This window comes from Homo sapiens, chromosome 11, assembly GCF_000001405.40.
Source record: "Homo sapiens chromosome 11, GRCh38.p14 Primary Assembly".
In the NCBI taxonomy this organism is placed as follows: domain Eukaryota; kingdom Metazoa; phylum Chordata; class Mammalia; order Primates; family Hominidae; genus Homo; species Homo sapiens.
The window spans coordinates 76,072,067-76,090,407 of record NC_000011.10 but is presented as its reverse complement, the minus strand read 5'-3'; the positions used below and the strand labels follow the sequence as shown (position 1 = coordinate 76,090,407).

Sequence of the window (18,341 nt, the reverse complement as noted above, 5' to 3'; positions counted from 1 at the left end):
TTGGCTAAGTATATACATTCAACAGGTTATAGGAGGAGTTATGAATATTCATGAAGGGGAAGCACAAGCAGGCGTAGTAGGCTAATATGTATACAGTCTGCACACCATGCTCACTTTGGGGTAGAGACTTAACATTTAAATGTATTACAAGTAGGCCCTGTACATCAAAAGGTAAAGCGAGGACATGAAAGGCCTCTGTGCACAGCCTCTGTAGACTGGCAGAACCACTCCACAGTCAGTGTGGTCTCTTATCAGGAAGAAATGCTGACCAGTTGCTGCATTTGAAACATAAAAATGGAGGTGCAGTCAGGAGATTGGTTGAAATCAGAGGTGCAGGAAGTCTTTCTAAAGGGCTGGTTTCCATTTAGCCCTTGGGAAAGAACACCGAATGGTGGCTAGCGAGGGCGGAGGTAGAATAAGGCAGGTCCAACTTCCTATCCCATCACAGCTGGAAACTCAGTTTTTAGGGTTTCTCCAGGGTCCTTCTGGCCAAAACGGGGTATGTTCAGTTGGTTGGGAGGCTTAGGAATTTATTTTTATTTCTCAGGTAGAATGGGGGAACAGAAAGGGGATATGAATGTGTGAAAGGGAACTAAAGTCTCATCTCCTACTGAAGAAATCAGAAGAAATCGAACAAAATCCAAGAAGCATCAACATTATCAAATTATTTAGAGGCAAGTAGTAACATAATCTGCTAAGATTGTTGAAAGTCGTTACCTCTGGGAAACAAGCAGAAATACTGTTTCTCACAATTAGCCTTAAGGATCTATTTGACTCTTTAACAGCATGTATAATTTTATAAAACTAAAACCAAAGGGCTAATAGGCCAGAACTCTAGGGTTGAGTTATCTAAATTCACATACCCCCTTCCTTCCATTTTCAATTCTTCAAATGGCATCGCGTCATGCATTCTTTGTGAGCTGGTAATCATCTCTCCTATACTGTCAATATGAATATACTAGCTGAATTACATATAAGCCAGTAATTCAGTTAGCTCTAGAGCCACTACTGTATCTAAAATTATTAAATAAAATTGTCAGTGAAAGAATAACACTTAGAAAACACTATAACACTTTGAAAATATTTGTCAGCTCTCTGACTAGAAGAGAAAAAGTCACTCAACATATAACAACTTATTACCACAGGCATATATTTTGGGGAAAATGTTCGCTTACTGTATAATTTCTCCTTAATCTCACCCCACTTCTCAAAGCCCTGCATTATCTTCCTAGACACAAGCAAAGCCAGGCATATCTATAAGTAAGACTGTAATTTCATTTGATACAAATGTGAACTCCCTTTGCCTTTTAAATGGAAGGCTATTCCTTTCAGAGATGAGTTCTTAAGTTTTTAGTCCATGCAGGAAGGTCACTGGTTCAGTCTATCATGCATGTGCAAACCTTTCCTGAGTCCATGTTATGTGCTAGCTACTGTGTCTGGATAAAGAGATGAATGAACCTCAGTCTCTGGCCCTTAAGGAACTTATTAATTTAGTAGGGGAGACATACATGCAAAATAACAACAGAAATGTAAGAATATTCACATATTTGATCGATTACTTGTTTTTTAAAACAAGGTGAGCAGGAAGAATAGAAGATGGGTGATAACTCTGTTCAGGAGGGCAAAGAAAGGCTTCACAGAAGAGAAGTTGGCCTGGTTGGATCCTGGAGAATGAGTGGGAGTTTACCACATGGACAAAAGGGGAAGGAAATTTCAGGCAAAGGGAATATAAAAGCAAAAGCAGAAGATGGGCCTTTCAGTGATGTTCAGCTTTCCTGGCATAAAGGGCCAGTGGCGGAGGTTTTGGGGTAAGTGGTTGCAGGAGTTGAGGCTGAAACGTGAGAGAGAAGACAGATAGATCATGTGAAGACTTTGCCATGCAAAAGAGTCTTGTTGCAAGGCGGGGGAGGGGGCGCGGGTGGGCGGAAGTGGGGGTTGGGGGTGGCATAGGAGAAGATGGGATTTGGGGGAAGGTAGCCTATGGAAAACGATGACAAGGTTTTAAGCAGGGGTGGACATAACAGATTTGCAAACTTCCCACCCCTCGTCCTCGTTTTTCTCATTATAAAAGTGCTTACCTAAATGCCAAGTATTTCAGCAGGACTCTACCTTAGTAGAGGCAATGAAGAATTACTTAAGTGACAAAAATCAGCCAATGGAAACTACTATAGGGGCGCTATAATGGTATCACTGATGTCATTACTGGCTTATGAATTTTCACAAATGGGGCTGGATGTGGTGGCTCATGCCTGTAATCCCATCACTATCGCTTGAGCCCATAAGTTTGAGACCAGCCTGGGCAACGTGGCAAAACTCTGACTCAAAAAACCATATAAAAATCAGCCAGGTGTGGTGGCATATGCCTGTAGTCCTGGCTACTCGAGAGGCTAGGAGTAGCCACCTGACCCCAGGGAGCTACTGGGAAGATCACCTGACCCCAGGGAGGTCTAGGCTGCAGTGAGCTGTGATTGCACCACTGCGCTCCAGTCTGAGCAACAGAGTGAGATCTTGTCTCAAAAACAAAACAAAACAAAACAAAAAACCAAAACAACTAAACGCTTACAAATGCCAAGTAGTATCAGGGTTCAGAGGATAGTCCTGACAATCAGGCCCGCTGTAGTAACCATGGGTAAATTACTAAACCTCTTTACTCAGTTCTAAAATGGGAATAGAGAAGGACTTGTTCTGTCCACCTTAAGGAATGCTATAAGGATCAAAGGAAATAATACACATAAAAATACTTTGATAAAGTATCTTGATCCTTCATTTATAAAGCTGTATAACAAGGGCAATTTGTTTAATTTTTCCGAGCTTCGAAGTTCTCATTTGTAAACCAGGGAGAATTCCATCTATATTACAGTCCTCATGCTATGAGGACTGAAGTGCCTTGTCTGACACACAGTAATTATGATTATCATCTGTGGCAGTATTTTAGCCATTTACATTGGTGTATGATAAATCAATTGGTCTGTGATGCAGTCAATAAGTATTCACTGAGGACATGAAGCGTGCAGAGTCCTAATTAGTCAGAGTCTCTAAGGAAAAGAAAACAAAGTAGGGACAAAATTTAAAAACACTACCTACCATACTGCTCACCGGTCAATTTTAGAACATGGCAACTCATATCTGTAATTGTAAATACTTCTCCAGAATATCATGCAGGAATTAACCAAGAATATGTTTGACTTTCTCACTGGCATTCCTATGTACCTACACACACATTCACAAGCACATGTATGTGTGTGCGCATGTAGAAACATTAGGACTCACTGAGGAAAAATAAATCTCTCACACTTGAAAATTAAGGAACTGCATAGGCAGCAAATCTCCAAGTGAAGTTGATGCAGTGGGTTATACAAGCCAATAATTTATGTTAGGGCTTCACAAAATGTTAGACACTAGGAAAGGAAACAAAATAAGTTAAATTACATCAATAAAAAGGTATGACTAGCTGTGCTGCCTCAGCTGGGATGCTATTTCTTGCTATAAACAGCAACAGCTAGAATTCAGATGACTAACTAAGCATTGCAATAATGAAAACAAAGCATGTTATAATAGCTGCTGCTAGATCCACAGCCTTGGGGATCAATGAAATAATGCCTGTTGCCATATATACACAGTCTTGCGGGTCTTTGTTTTTTTGGGAAAAATAAGTTCAGATCATTTCTAAACTAGCAATTTGTCTGTCTAGATTTTGTTAAGTCTGTTATGCTTATGATAAAATATGATCTTTCATATTAAATCACTTATGACCTTGGTAAAATATTACTTTATATTAGCTGACTCTTGAGGCACTTTAATTTTATGAAACATGCACTTTAGTTTTTAAAAGTATGAAAGCAAAACTAGAAGTTCCTAGTCTACTACATCATGTTAACAAGCCATCAAAGATCTGGGAACACATTAAAAAATAGACCAAATCTCTATCTAATTAATTTCAAATATGAAAGGATACTTACAACTGAAAACAAAATACAGCCAATACTTTAAATCCTTAAACATACGAAGAATAGTTCTGATTGGTTTCCTGGATTCATGTCTCCCTGTCCAAGGTTATTCCATGCAAGAAGGTTACCAAACAAAGTAAAAGGTTGTGGGAAAATCCAATACCCACTTTAGGGCAGGAGTGAGCAGCTTTACAGATGTGTAAAGACAAATCTTTCTAGAATACATGATGGAAAAAACTAAAGAAAGATTTAAGTTCATGATTAAGCGAGGGCATCCATGGTTCAAAAATATGTCTTATATAGTTCCATTAACAGGCCCGAATTTTAAATTACAAATATGTAAGCAGAAGGTGAATTACCCGTGTTACTTATTTAAAGCAGGTTGTTTTCCCTTCAGTTAGTCAGCTATCTGCTTACTGAGGGAATGGAACTTTGCATACTATGGAACTGGGAGGGAAAGTGGATTTTGGTGGTGCACCAACTTCAGGGCTCATGGCTTTAACAGAGTAGAATGAGGGCACTGGGTGTCAGCAGGCATGGGGTGTCTGACATGTAGAAAGAGCTCCAGAAATACAAGCTGATAGATGAGTTGTGAAAAACACACATGGAAAAGGACGTGGAAATATGACAATGACAAACCTGCTTACCTTGATCACAAGACCTAATGCTGAAAAATGCTAAATGTGCCTTCCACTGACATAAGTAATGTGATTTGCCAATGCCCAGCTTAGAGTGGTTTCCCCTGTAGCAGACAAGCAGATGTATATATAATAAAGTCCCTGCAAGGTGAAAAAGAAAATCTGATTTTTAAAAGGATATTATATTCTGCTTTTTATATTTGCCTAAACTCCAAGGCTAAAGTGCCAGTATGTAACAAAGAAGCTAGTGAGAGAATATAAATAAATGCCCTGCTTCCTTCATCCAGAATGTCTTGATACAAAAGAAAAATTTGCATCTGAACTAAGTAGTGTGTTTGGTGACACAATTGATTCACATTTGGTACAATTTCCTTATCTTACTGCAGACTGACAACAAGCTCTATGGACTACAGACTGCCTGCTGGCCTGTGGATCACACTTTGACGAGCACTGACACAGACAATCCCAGCACAATTTATACTTTAATTGTTAAAAAAAGTTATCAGTTCTGAGAAAGCAATAACAGCAAAAAGCCAGAGCCAAACAAAGGGGACCACATTGCCATGATGTTGCTATAGTTCCTGAACACAGTAATTTATGGATTCCTCAAATGATAAATCACATTAGTAACTTTGCCAAATGTCTCAAAAGGATATAATAAATGAAGAAATATCTGTTGAACAAACTATTCTGGTTAAGGCAATGTGGTGGGGGATTCATCAGAACAATTAGATTTTTTTTTTTTTTTTTTTTTTTTTTGAGACAGGGTCTCGCTCTGTCCCCCAGGCTGGAGTGCAATGGTGCAATCTCGGCTCACTGCAACCTCTGCCTCCCAGGTTCAAGCAATTCTCACGCCTCAGCCTCTTGAGTAGCTGGGATTACAGGCACCCGCCACCATGCCTGGCTAATTTTTGGGGGGCATTTTTAGTAGAAATGGGGTTTCACATTGGCCAGGCTGGTCTCCAACTCCTGACCCCAAGTGATCTGCCTTCCTCAGCCTCCCAAAGTGCTGGGATTACAGGCATGAGCCACTGCGACTGGCCAGAACAATTAGATTTTATACACATGTGAACTATTTGTCACATAAAGCAACTTCTTCTGTTTCCCTCCACCACCACCCAGAGCCTAGTATAGTATATTCAATTAATACTTTTTGGCTGGTATATCCAAAACGTCCACAAAACACTATATATATTCTGAGTTTCAGACTAAAATGAGAAAAATAAGATAACTTATAAAGATAAAATACAGGAAAACTCGGATCATACATTTTATTGGAAAAAGTATATAAAATATATTAACAACTTTAAAAATAAATGATAGTATGTATATTTTAATGGCTATGTTCTAGGCAGGGAAAGAGAATAAAAATGACAACATGATAATAAATGTCTTTGCTTTTCACATCTTCCATTTCTTAACAAAATAAAAGATCTTAGACCATTAATAAAAGCGGTACATTCTCTTGGACTCTTAAATTCAGATATTAATACCGCCTTTATAGAAATAAATAAGAAAGCACTGATGGAAGATGTAAAGTGCATTAGCGTTCATGTTATCTCTCCTGGTATGAATTTAATGGGTATCTTAATAAGGAGATATAAACTAATGTCACTGATTAGGAAATATATCCACTCACATCATTTAGTAGCCTCCACTGGGGCTTGATGATGATGTCTGAGTGGAATTACTATAAAGCAAATGATGAATTAGTGTCAGGAGCTAAGGGACACATAAATGTGCCTCAGAGATGAAGCACTTACATTCTACATTGAAAGTTACAGGTCAACTCAAAAGACAGTGCGGTCAGTCCTAAGGCAGCACTAACCAACCTGGCTAAGCCCACTGCTTAGAACTTGCTAAAGCTAAGTTATTTTGATAGCTGGGCCACAGGCTTCCTTGGTTATAATAACCTGAAAGTAACATTTACGTGTTTTAAGTCTCTTTTGATCTCCTGAATAACATGAAGTGATGTTTATCAGATTTTAAGACACAGGCACATTCCGTTCAGATGATTTCATTCTCAGGGGACCTTGTCATTATGAAGGCTTATTAAAAGAAGGCAAAGGTTCACAAGCCTTTCAGAAGAATCTTAAGTGACATTATGAACTAAATCTAAAAAAAAATTTTTTGGCTTGGTTATACAAAGTAATTTCCTCTTCCCGGTTAGCTTAGTGGTCATAGTTCAGCAAACTTTGTATAGAGTGACCACCACAATTAGTGTATTAAAAATGTAGACATTGTTTCTCTCACTTTCTCTTCTAATTAGGCTTTATTTCAACACTCAGTGCAGGGGCTTGACCTATAAGTGGCAAATGCCCCAATACCCAAAAGCTCGTTTACTATTAGGCATTTGGGAAATCTTACATACTTCCAGGTACATTTGAAAGAAAAAACAGCCAAAACTCAGTCTATTCTTTTGTTTAGGGCTTATTTTAATAGTATACATCCCTAAAATGGTCACAAATCTTGTTTGTAATTTATCTTTTTATAACATGAAGGAGAAAAAAAAATACCAAAAATGGTCCATGCAGATGTTTCAATTATTTTTTAAAAATTCCTCATCCACCAAAATATTCTATACCTGTTTCCTCACCTGTAAAATGAGGATAATAACAAAAACCTGAAAGGTTATTGTGAAGACTAGGAATAAAGAATAAGACACTCTTTGCATATAGGTATCAATAAAAGCAGATATTCTTTTTTGTTTTAGTTTAAACTTTTAGATTCAGGGGGTACACATGCAGATTTGTTACAAGGATATATTGTGTGATCAAAAGCAGATACTCTTTTTTTGAGACACGGTCTCTGTCACCCAGGCTGGAGTGCAGTGGTGCAATCTCAGCTCACTGTGGCCTTGACCTCCTGGGAATCAATCCTCCCACCTCAGCCTCCTAAGTAATTGGGACTAGAGGTGTGAATCACCACACCCAGCTAGGATTTTTTTGCATTTTTAGTAGAGATGAGGTTTCATCATGTTGCTCAGGTTGGTCTTGAACTCCTGGGCTCAAGTGATCCATCTGCCTCGGTCTCCCAAAGTGCTAGGATTACAAGCATGAGCCACCATACCTGGCCCAAAGTAGATATTCTTATGTGTAAAGCTAAGACAATGCTTAAGCGCTCTAGCTGAAAATTCTTTTTCTTCTGATATATGATGCTGAAATACGAAGTCCTTGCCATCCTTTGTAATGGCAATTATTTTTCAAGAGATGACAAGAATTTGATGAAATAGTGTTATACAGTTTAAAAAATTGTTACCTATGTTTTTTTTTTTTTTTTTTTTGGGACGGAGTCTCGCTCTGTTGCCCAGGCTGGAGTGCAGTGGTGCCATCTCCGCTCACTGCAAGCTCCGCCTCCCGGGTTCATGCCATTCTCCTGCCTCAGCCTCCCGAGTAGCTGGGATTACAGGCGCCCGACACCACGCCTGGCTAATTTTTTGTATTTTTAGTAGAGACAGGGTTTCACCGTGTTAGCCAGGATGGTCTCGATCTCCTGACCTCGTGATCTGCCCGCCTCGGCCTCCCAAAGTGCTGGGATTACAGGCGTGAGCCACCGTGCCTAGCCACCTATGATTTTTTAATGGCAAGATATAATATGCATATAGAAAAATAAATGAAACACACATACACATTGTTTAAAGGATCAGGATTATAAAGCAAACCCCTGTGTTACCACCACTCGGTCAAGAAATACAATGCTGCTGGTGCCCCAGAAGCCTTCCACAAGCCCCTTTCTCATTATAACCCCTTCTCACTTCCAGAGGTAGTTAGTCACTACCCTTGTTTTTTTGTATAGTTTTCATTCCTAAATAATATCGTTTAATCTTGCTTGGTTTTGAACTATACATAAATAGAGGATGATTGTGGATTTTTTTTTTTTTTTTTGCTTTGGTTCTTTTACTCTACATCATGCTGGTGAAATTCGTCCCTATCATTGCTATGGTTTCATGGCTGCACAGTATTTGATTACATAAATATACCTTAATTAATGATGAACATATTGTCGATATATTTTAAGTTGTTTCTAATCTTCAGCTATTATGAATAGTGGTGCTATAAACATTCTCATATACAAATCTTCAATTTCACTGCATAATGTCAAATTATTTTTTTAAATGATCAATCTACCCTCCCATCACCTCTAATTTAAGAGTAACCGGTTTATTATTGTTTTTTTTTAAAATCATACATGTGCTCAAAACTAGACTGGGAGAAATTGTAGAATATTACTGTTAGAAGGAAATGAAAAGATTATTTACTTCAAGTTTCTTATTTTAGAAGGAGCCAAGGCTTAGAAAAATTAGAGACTAACTTGGCCAGGTGCGGTCGGTCACTCACACCTGTAATCCCAGCACTTTGGGAGGCAGAGGCGGGCAGATCATTGGAGGTCAGGAGTTCAGAACCAGCCTGGCCAACATGGTGAAACTCTGTCTCTACTAAAAATATAAAAACTAGTTGGGCGTGGTGGCAGGTGCCTGTAATCTCAGCTACTCGGGAGGCTGAGGTAGGAGAATGGCCTGAACCCAGGAGGTGGAGGTTGCAGTGAGTCAAGATTGCGCCATTGTACTCCAGCCTGGGCAACAGAGCGAGACCATCTCAAAAAAAAAAAGAGAGAGACTGGCTCAATGTTACAGTGAATAAGAGGGACAATGAGTTAGAAAACCAAAGAGTTAGAAGCAACTCTGAAGCTAGAACACAATCTAGAGCTCTTTCCAAGGCATTAAGCTGCCTTGCAAGGGAATCTGGAAACAATGAAATACAACTACTATTTATAAATGTGAACACAATGGGGACAGACACAGAAATGTTTTAGGGCAGTTTAGAAAAGTTAGCATTACGTTTTACAACGGAATTTGTGAATCTCATTATTTAAGTAGGGAAACTGAGGCCTAGAAACTCACAAGGCCACAGTTATCAAGTGGCAACACTGATCAGGAAGTGAATCCATGTCTGTCTGTACTTGTTCTCCTAACCACATATACTGTCTGGAAACATACTCAGCTAGAGGGAATATAGCTGTGTTTTACAAAGTATGAAAAAATAACACTGATTTTGTCAATTTGACTATGGGCTAATGAATCTTAAAGAGGAAGTACACGTTACTGAGAAAAAATACATAGCTTGACCAGCCTCTTTAAAGCTGAAATTTCTGTATCTGCTGGAATATTCTATAATTTGAACGTACTAACGAATAGATTAAGAGAAGAAAACTGGTTTCTTGTCCCAGGTTCACCATTAACCATTTGTACCATTTTGAGAATGTCAAAAAACTTCACTAGGATTCAGTTTTTGTCTGAAAAAAATAATTTATATATATATATTCTATTATAAAAGCAATATGTGCTCAATAAAAATAAATAAAAAGGTAAGTAGAAGGATTATCTGAAGTCCCACAAAACAAACATGTAACACAGTTTTGGTATACAACCAGGCAGTCTTTTCCCTCCTATATACAGGGTAGTTTGTTTGGTGCCTTTAAAATTATTTTAATATCTGTAACCACAGTGTGCCTTCAACCCCATGCTCTCTTTTCTACACTAATAACAAAGGTATTTCTATGCTACCTAATCTTCACAAAAATTTTAATCACAGTGAATGCTTGCTATGTTTTAAATGTCCCCTCCAAACCTCATGTTGAAATTTGGTTGCCACTGTCACAGTATTAAGGGGTGGAACCTTTAAGAGGTGATTAGGTCATGAAGGCTCCACCCTCATGAATGGATTAATGCCATTACTACAAGAGTGGGCTCCTAATAAAGGGGTGAATTCAGTCCAATTTTCCTCTCTCCATCTCACATCTGCCATGGGTTGATGCTTGCTTGATGTTGGTGCCATGCTCTCAGACGTCCCAGCTTCCCGAACCATGAGCCAAACAAATCTCTTTTCTTTATTAATTACCTAGTCCATGATATTCTGTTATAGCAGCAGAAAACGAATGAAGGCAATGCTCCTTCATTTATTTAACCTATTCCCAGATAACTATTTTCAGTTATGATAAACATATTTAACTGTTTTCAGGAAGTTAGAATTATTTCCTTATGCTAGAGTTCCCAAGATGAACTACTAAATCAAAGGCAGAAATTCTTACTAATTCTACTTCAGAGAAAAAATTGTGAGGGTAAGTATATGAGCTTCTTATGAGAATGCTTTGAAAACTGTAAGGCACTACATAAATGTAAGATAGTATTATCATTAGTTTTATAAGTCCATATTGTATTGGACTTACATAAGCCTAGTATGGTACTCCATAAATCTCTGAATATTTTCTAAAAACAAAATCACCAATATATAAGCATACTATTTGTACATTTCATCTTAATCTTTTTTTTTTTCTTTTTTTTGAGACAGGGTTTCACTGTCGCCCTGGCTGGAGTGCAGTGGCACAATCATAGCTCACTAAAGCCTTTAACACCTAGGCTCAAACAATCCTCCTGCCTCAGCCTCCTGAGTAGTTGGGACTACAGGCACAAGCCACTATGTCCGGATAATTTTTTTAATTTTTTGTAGAGATGAGGTCTTGTTGTGCTGCCCAGGCTGGTCTCGAACTCCTGAGCTCAAGTGATCCTCCTGCCTTGGCCTCCCAAAATGTTGGAATTACAGGCTTGAGCCACTGCACCTTGCAAGAATCTTAAAACCTTTTTGATCATGCTGTCGCGAGTCAAACAACTTAAAAGTGATTTTGAAAAAGCAATGAACAGACTAAATTATAAGAGTGGTAAAGTTAAGAAGCAGAGATGTAAAGAACATGGTGCTGACATGGGGCTCAGGGCACATAATACTCAACTTTTTGATTCTTTAGATGAGAAGTCTGAGACACAGCAGAAAGATACTATCTGCCCAAGGTACTGGCAAGTTAAAAGTGATGGAATATAACCCTGAAATTTCTTTTTTTTCTGAGACAGAGTCTTGCTCTGTAGCCCAGGCTGGAGTGCAGTGGTGCGATCTCAGCTCACTGCCAGCTCCGCCTCCTGGGTTCACATCATTCTCCTGCCTCAGCCTCCTGAGTAGCTGGGACTACAGGTGTCCGCCACCACACCCAGCTAATTTTTTTTTTTTTTTTTTTTTTTTTTTGTATTTTTAGTAGAGTAAAGACAGGGTTTCACTGTGTTAGCCAGGATGGTCTCAATCTCCTGACCTCGTGATCCGCACACCTCGGCCTCCCAAAGTGCTGGGATTACAGGTGTGAGCCACCGCACCCGGTCTAACCTTGAAATTTCTAATTGTTGGTGTTATGTTCTTTCCATTAAATCATTTCATCCACCTTTTTGAAATCTGTGGATGACAAAATTTCATTCCTTTCATTGCATCTACCTAAATAATTTAATTATTTAAATGTAAAGTGCTAGTCTGCATTTATAATATATATATTTTTAAACCAATAATTTACAGAAATATCTACAAAGTTATTATTTTAAATACAGAATTATGATATGGGTCTATCCACAGATAACTGTGGGTATGTTGGTGAAAGTAGTCTCTCTTTCAAAAAGATAAATTAGCAAAACATAACATCATTAAAAGTTCCAAAATTTAGAATTTCAAATCTACTGTGCTACCTTCCCCTAAAATCTAGAGACTTTGGGTTTTGAATCAGGCAATATAAACCATTTTTTTGGAGCTCATCTCTTTAAAGAGCTTACACCTAAGCTATGCCGGTCACTTTGATGCCAACTAAAATCAGACCAAATTCATTTTTCATATAGCTCATAATTCATTTCATGATGCTTAATCATAAAAAGTATAGTGAGAATTTATATGCCATCCTCTCTGAACTAGCTAGCACTGCATATTTCATTTCAGTTGAGGTACATTCTTTAAATATTTTCCTCCCAGCAAAAGATGTCACTCATGGTGGTGCTTTGGAAAAGGCTAATCTTATTACTGAACAAGTAAAAAGGCTAAAGTGAATCTTTTAAAACAACTAGGATAAAGGAAGAGATAGATGTTATCAAAGATGGTAAGCCAAGTAAGGTGCTAAATTTATATTGAGCTATTAGCCACAGAAAAAAAGGGAAGCCTGTTATGTAAGATGTTTCTTCCTGTCTGACAAAAGGAAAGCAGCAAGTACGGTCTCCTGAACTTAGAGTCAGATATTAGGGTCTGAATTTCTTTGTTTATCTAACAGCTGTGTGACTATGAGCAAAAGACTCACCCTTCAGAGGCTCAGTTTATCTAAATGTAAAATGAAGATAATAATACCAACACTTTAAGGGTTTCTGCAAAGGATAAAAGAAATAATATATGTGAAAGGGCCCTGTGCCCTAAAATAAGCTATATATGTAAGTTACAATTGTTTTATTTTTCATTTGGAAATATATTTTTGGCACTGTATTTGTAGTTTCAGTTTAAAAGGAAAAAATGTCCAACTGAGATAAAAAGTTTTATCAATTTACACTTTCAGCAATCAAAGAGTACAGTAATCATAGTCAATGACATTAAAAATGTCTAGCACATTGGTTAATAGCTAATGATGGCTCTCAGAAAAATTAATACATGAACACTTAACCAATCATTTGCAACTAGAAAAATGCAGTATGTTATCCCTTTAAACACAGAATAGAACTTTTGGAAAAAACTATGTATAAATAAATATAATTTTTTGACCTCAATTAAAACATTAAATAGATACAAGAGATGTGTGTGTGTGTATATATAATATTTACATATATTATATATTTTATATATACAATATATAATATACATTAAACAGAAATGAGTTGTTTAATTATCAACCTTAAAGAGGAAAGAACAATCTCTGACTGACTCATTCATCATTCATTCTTTCAATAGACATCTTTTTTTTTTTTTGAGACAGGGTTTGCCATGTCGCCCAGGCTGGAGTGCAATGGTACAATCACAGCTCACTGCAGCCTTGACCTCCTGGACTCAGGTGATTTTCCCATCTCAGCCTCCCAAGTGGCTGGAACCACAGTTGGACACCACCACACCCTGCTAATTTTTTTATTATGGGGTCTTGTCATCTGCCTCTAATAAATAAATAAATAAATAAATAAATAAATACAACCTAATTTAAAAATGGTCAAAGGGTTGGAATAGTTATTTCTCCAAAGAAGATATACAAATGGCCAATAAGTACATAAAAGAGTAATGACACTCAACATCATTAGCCATTAGAAAAAATTCAAGTCAAAACCATTTACAACTAGTAGGATGGCTATAATAAAAAAGAAAAATAAGTGTTGGTGAGGATACAGAGCAATTGGAACCTGATACCGTTTGGCTGTGTCCCCACCCAAATCTCATCTTGAATTGTAGCTCCCATAATTCCACGTGTCATGGGAGGGACCCAGTGGGAGGTAATTGAATCATGGGAGCAGGTCTTTCCTGTGCTGTTCTTGTGATAGTGAATAAGTCTCACAAGATCTGATGTGAGATCAGATTTATAAAGGGGAGTTCCCCTGCACACGCCCTCTTGCTTGCTGCCATGTAACACAGTAAAATTGCTTCTACTTTGCCTTCTACCATGATCGTGAGGCCTCCCTAGTCATGTGGATCTGTGAGTCCATTAAGCCTCTTTCCTTTATAAATTACCCAGTCATGGCTATGTCTTTATTAGCAGCATGAGAACAGACTAATACAGAACCTTTGTACATTAGTAGTGGGAATGTAAAATGGTGTTGCCACTTTAGAAAACAGTCTGGCAATTCCTCAAATTTAAACATAGCTACCATATGGCTCAGCAATTCCACTCCTAGGTATACACCCCAAAATAATGAAAACTATATCCCCACAAAAACTTGTACCCAAATGTTCATAACAGCATTCTTATAACAGCCAAGAAATGGAAACATCCCAAAAGTCTATCAACTCGTAAATGGATAAATAACATGTCGTATATACATACACATCTTCCAACTGCAAAAAAAATTGGCTACAAAAAGGAATGACTCATACATGCTACAAAATGGATAAACCTTGAGCCTATGGAAAGCAAATAAAGCCAGTTACAGAAGACCACATATTTTATGATTCCATTTGTAAGAAATGTCCAGAACAGCAAATCTATAGAAACAGAAAGTAGGCTGGTAGCTGCCCAGGGATGGGGAACCTGAGGGAATGAGGAATGACTACTAGTGGGTACAGGGTTTCTTTTGGGGGCAATGAAAATGTTCTATAATTGACCGTGGTGATAGTTGCACAATTTGGTGAATATATTAAAAGCCACTGAACTATATACTTTTTTTTTTTTTTGAGACACAGTCTTGTTCTATTGCCTAGGCTGGAGTGCAGTGGCATGGCTCATGCAACCTCCGCCTCCCAGGTACAAGCCACTCCTTCACTCCTGCCTCAGCCTCCCAAGTAGCTGGGATTACAGGCGACTGCAACCCTGCCCGGCTAATTTTTGTATTTTTTTAGTAGAGACAGGGTTTCACCATGTTGGCCAGGCTGGTCTCAAACTCCTGACCTCAAGTGATCCGCCCACCTCGGCCTCCCAAAGTGCTGGCATTACAGGTGTGAGCCACCACGCCTGGCCTGAATTGTACAATTTAAATGGGTTAATTGTATGTTATGTGAAATATATCTCAGTAAACTTTTTTTTAAATTTAGTACTTTTTATAAAGAGCTTCCACCATTATTATTGGCAAATTTTGTATGCAGTAGTTGGGGAAAGGCATTTTGACTATTAAAACATCCTTGGAATTTATATTTTTGATTCCAAGAATTATGAAAATAAAAGCATATTTTCTTCTCATGTGTCACATACATTTGGCTGTATGTTAAAGAAATATACATGAATTTAAGCTGCTGGGTAGAAGCTGGCATTGATCCCTTCTAAATAGCTGTGCACTGTGGGCCCCAGGAGTAAAGATTTACAGAAGGATCACGTCCTTGGCAGAACAGGGGTTCCCAGCTGTTTTGGATGGAGAAGCTATTTTTACTTTCTATGAAGTCTTAACTTGAAGGGGAAGAGAAGTAATAGGGTAAAAGGAAGGGAGTCATGAAATCCCCAGGTTCTAATTTTAGCTCTTCTACTTAACTCACTGTCTCAGGGGGCTCTTCTGTAAAATGCAGATAATTGTCTATGCCCTGTCTAACTCACAGAATTGTAGGAAGGCCCAAATTAAAAAGAAAAACAAATAATGTTAGTAGGATATAACTGGATTTGGTTTTGAATTGCTTGCCATTTAATAGCTTTGTCATCCCCAGGAAATCAGCATAGCAGCAGCTCAATTTCTTATCTCTAAAGACAGACTTGGTCAACATACTTCATAGAGTATGAAATGAGCTACACAAATAAAAATACACACTCCAAAGCCATTACATTCTATACAAATGTAAATCATCATTATTATTTGTACAATATACCCTCAAAGTAATACTCTTAAATATTGAGCTTTCAGAAAAGGAGAGAAGAGGCCTGGCTTACAAAAGCAACAAGGAAGAATCCACTGATAGCTGCTAGCCTTCTGACTTGTACTACATATCATTCCTGGAATGCAAATTGGTAGGTCTCTCATATTATGTTTCCACATTTGGGGAAATGACACATGTGTCTTGGAGCAATTGAAGAGTTTCACAGAAAATCTGGATGGCCACATTCTCTAAGACAGTGGTTCTCAAAAGTTTAGTCTCAAGATCCCTTTATACTCTTAAAATGACTGAGGACCCCAAAGGGCTTTCATTTATATGGGTCATATGTATCAATAATTATCATATTAAAAATTGAAATTAAGAAAACTTTTGCATGTTTGTGAATTCTTCCAAAAATAGCAATAGCAATCTATTACTTGTTAATATAAATAATATTTTTAATGAAAAATAAGCAAATTTTCCAAAAAAGAAACTTAGTGAGATGAGTGACATTGTTTTACATTTTTGCAAGTCTGTTTTGCAATGTCTAGCTTAATAGAAGCCAGCTGGAGTCTCACATTGTCTTCTGCACTCATTGTTACCATGTGTTGTTTAGTAAGAAAATCCAGCCTTATACAGATACGCAGCTGAAAAAGAAAGGAGTATTTTAAGTGCTTTTTCAGATGGTTGTGGATATTCTTGTTTGATACTACTCCCAACCTCATTAAGTAATAGCTTTTTAAAGGTACTAGTAGCAATGCAGAATCTGAAACCCTATCAATAAAGTTTTCATACTCTTTTACATTAAAATCCATTGGTCTTTCTGGCACTTTGAAAGGATCTTTACCTACGTATGATTTCATAGCATTATACAATGGTCATTTGGAAAACATTGGCTCATTGAGTTATATATATTTTTAATGCTGACACATTCCATTATAAACTATTTAAAAATCACATGTGTTATTATCACTACCAATCTTATCAAAAAAATCCTTAAGGATTGGGCAGCTGCCAATCTCATGGTGGCAGACACAAGCGATCTGGAATTCTAATTTTCATTTAAAATCCTGAATTTTATCATCAGTTGATTTCCTTTAAGAGACAGGCTCACTTCATTCAGTTTTGAGAAAATGTTTGCCAAATACTTAAGTCTAAATAACCATAATTTGTCAGTCATTCTTTCAAGTAAAGACAAGGCTTTTAAAAAAGAAGGTAGTTCACTTAGCAACTCGATTGCACATGTGCTTTTCCTTGAAACAACCACTGTACTTCAGTATGCAGCAGAAGTGATTTATGCATATTCTCTTTCCAACACACAGAATATTAAGAAGGTGTGCACTCAGGGGTCATGATTTAATATAATCAATAATTTTTACTGCTTCATTAAGGACATTCTTAATTGAACCCCATTTTAAATATATATATATAAACTATGAGTACACAGTCTTACAGAAGACAAATACTGCTAGCTGAGTTTAGTCCCTCTGCCTTGATTTGTTCTAAGTGGCCAGCAATTTTAGCCACCATCATGTAAATGTCAATACAGTGAAACAGGCAAAAATGTCTTAGTATTATTATGAAAATAATTCCGCCCTCCCAGACCTACTGAGGGTGTTGGGGATCCCCAAGGAACCAGGGACTGATTACACTGCTGCTCTAGAAGAAAAAGGAATCTGTCACTTAAATTCTGTACAGTTGGCACACTCATGTGAAACTATTCAGAAAATCTACTAAAGGCTCAGTACCAACAATCTGGAAGAAAATTATTTAGTTTCAGTATAGCTCTCTTCACTGTATTCAAAAGTTAAACTAATTCAATGCCTATATAGATGGCCAATTCATCTTCACATTAAAAATATATTCACAGTATGGTGTGAGTTGTGGTTAAGAACTATACATTTATATCATACCTATCAAAAGTCTTCCTTTTATAAGATAAATAATGAGCTGGACTTTTTCCCTGTTCTCTTCCTTACCCAGAGCCCACCATCCTTCATGCATCTGAAAAAGGCAATTTGGGATAAGTGGCAAGAGCAAAGGCTCACTCTCATCAGCATAAACATGCCTTGATATCTGCCATCTTAAAAAACAAAGCAAACAAACCATTCTACATTCCCACAAAACAAACAGGTTGAAAACAAAAACAAAAACAAAAAGAAACTTCCCTTAATCCCATAGTCATCTCCAGTTACAAACCCATAACTGGACATACTGATGACTTCTTCTATTCAGAAATTTACTCCTCTTAGTTTCCAAATTACTACTCTCTCTTCATTTTCTCCCTACCTGACTGTCCATTCCTCTCAGTTTTTGCTGGTTCTTCCTCCTCTATTCAACTTCTAAATGTAATTTCCCAGGATTAAATCCCACTGTACGTGTGTGTCTGTATTTGTCTCTCTCTCTTTTCAGCTCTGCGTTCTCTCCCTGGGTAATCTCATCTA

The 18,341-nt window shown here is 37.6% G+C and overlaps 1 protein-coding gene across 8 annotated transcripts in view; it reads right to left on the bottom strand.

The window, feature by feature from the left end:
* Positions 1–18,341, bottom strand: part of UVRAG (UV radiation resistance associated) — a 329,023-nt gene that overhangs the window by 53,825 nt on the left and 256,857 nt on the right. The window contains exon 14 of one of the 8 annotated variants that reach the window (NM_001386673.1): positions 14,129–16,544. The exons of the other annotated variants lie outside the window; for them this stretch is intronic. Within the exon in view, the coding sequence (NP_001373602.1) occupies positions 16,392–16,544 (153 nt within the window). The 3' untranslated portion in view covers positions 14,129–16,391. Of the gene's footprint in view, positions 1–14,128; positions 16,545–18,341 lie in introns of those variants that run through there. 8 annotated transcript variants of the gene reach the window in all.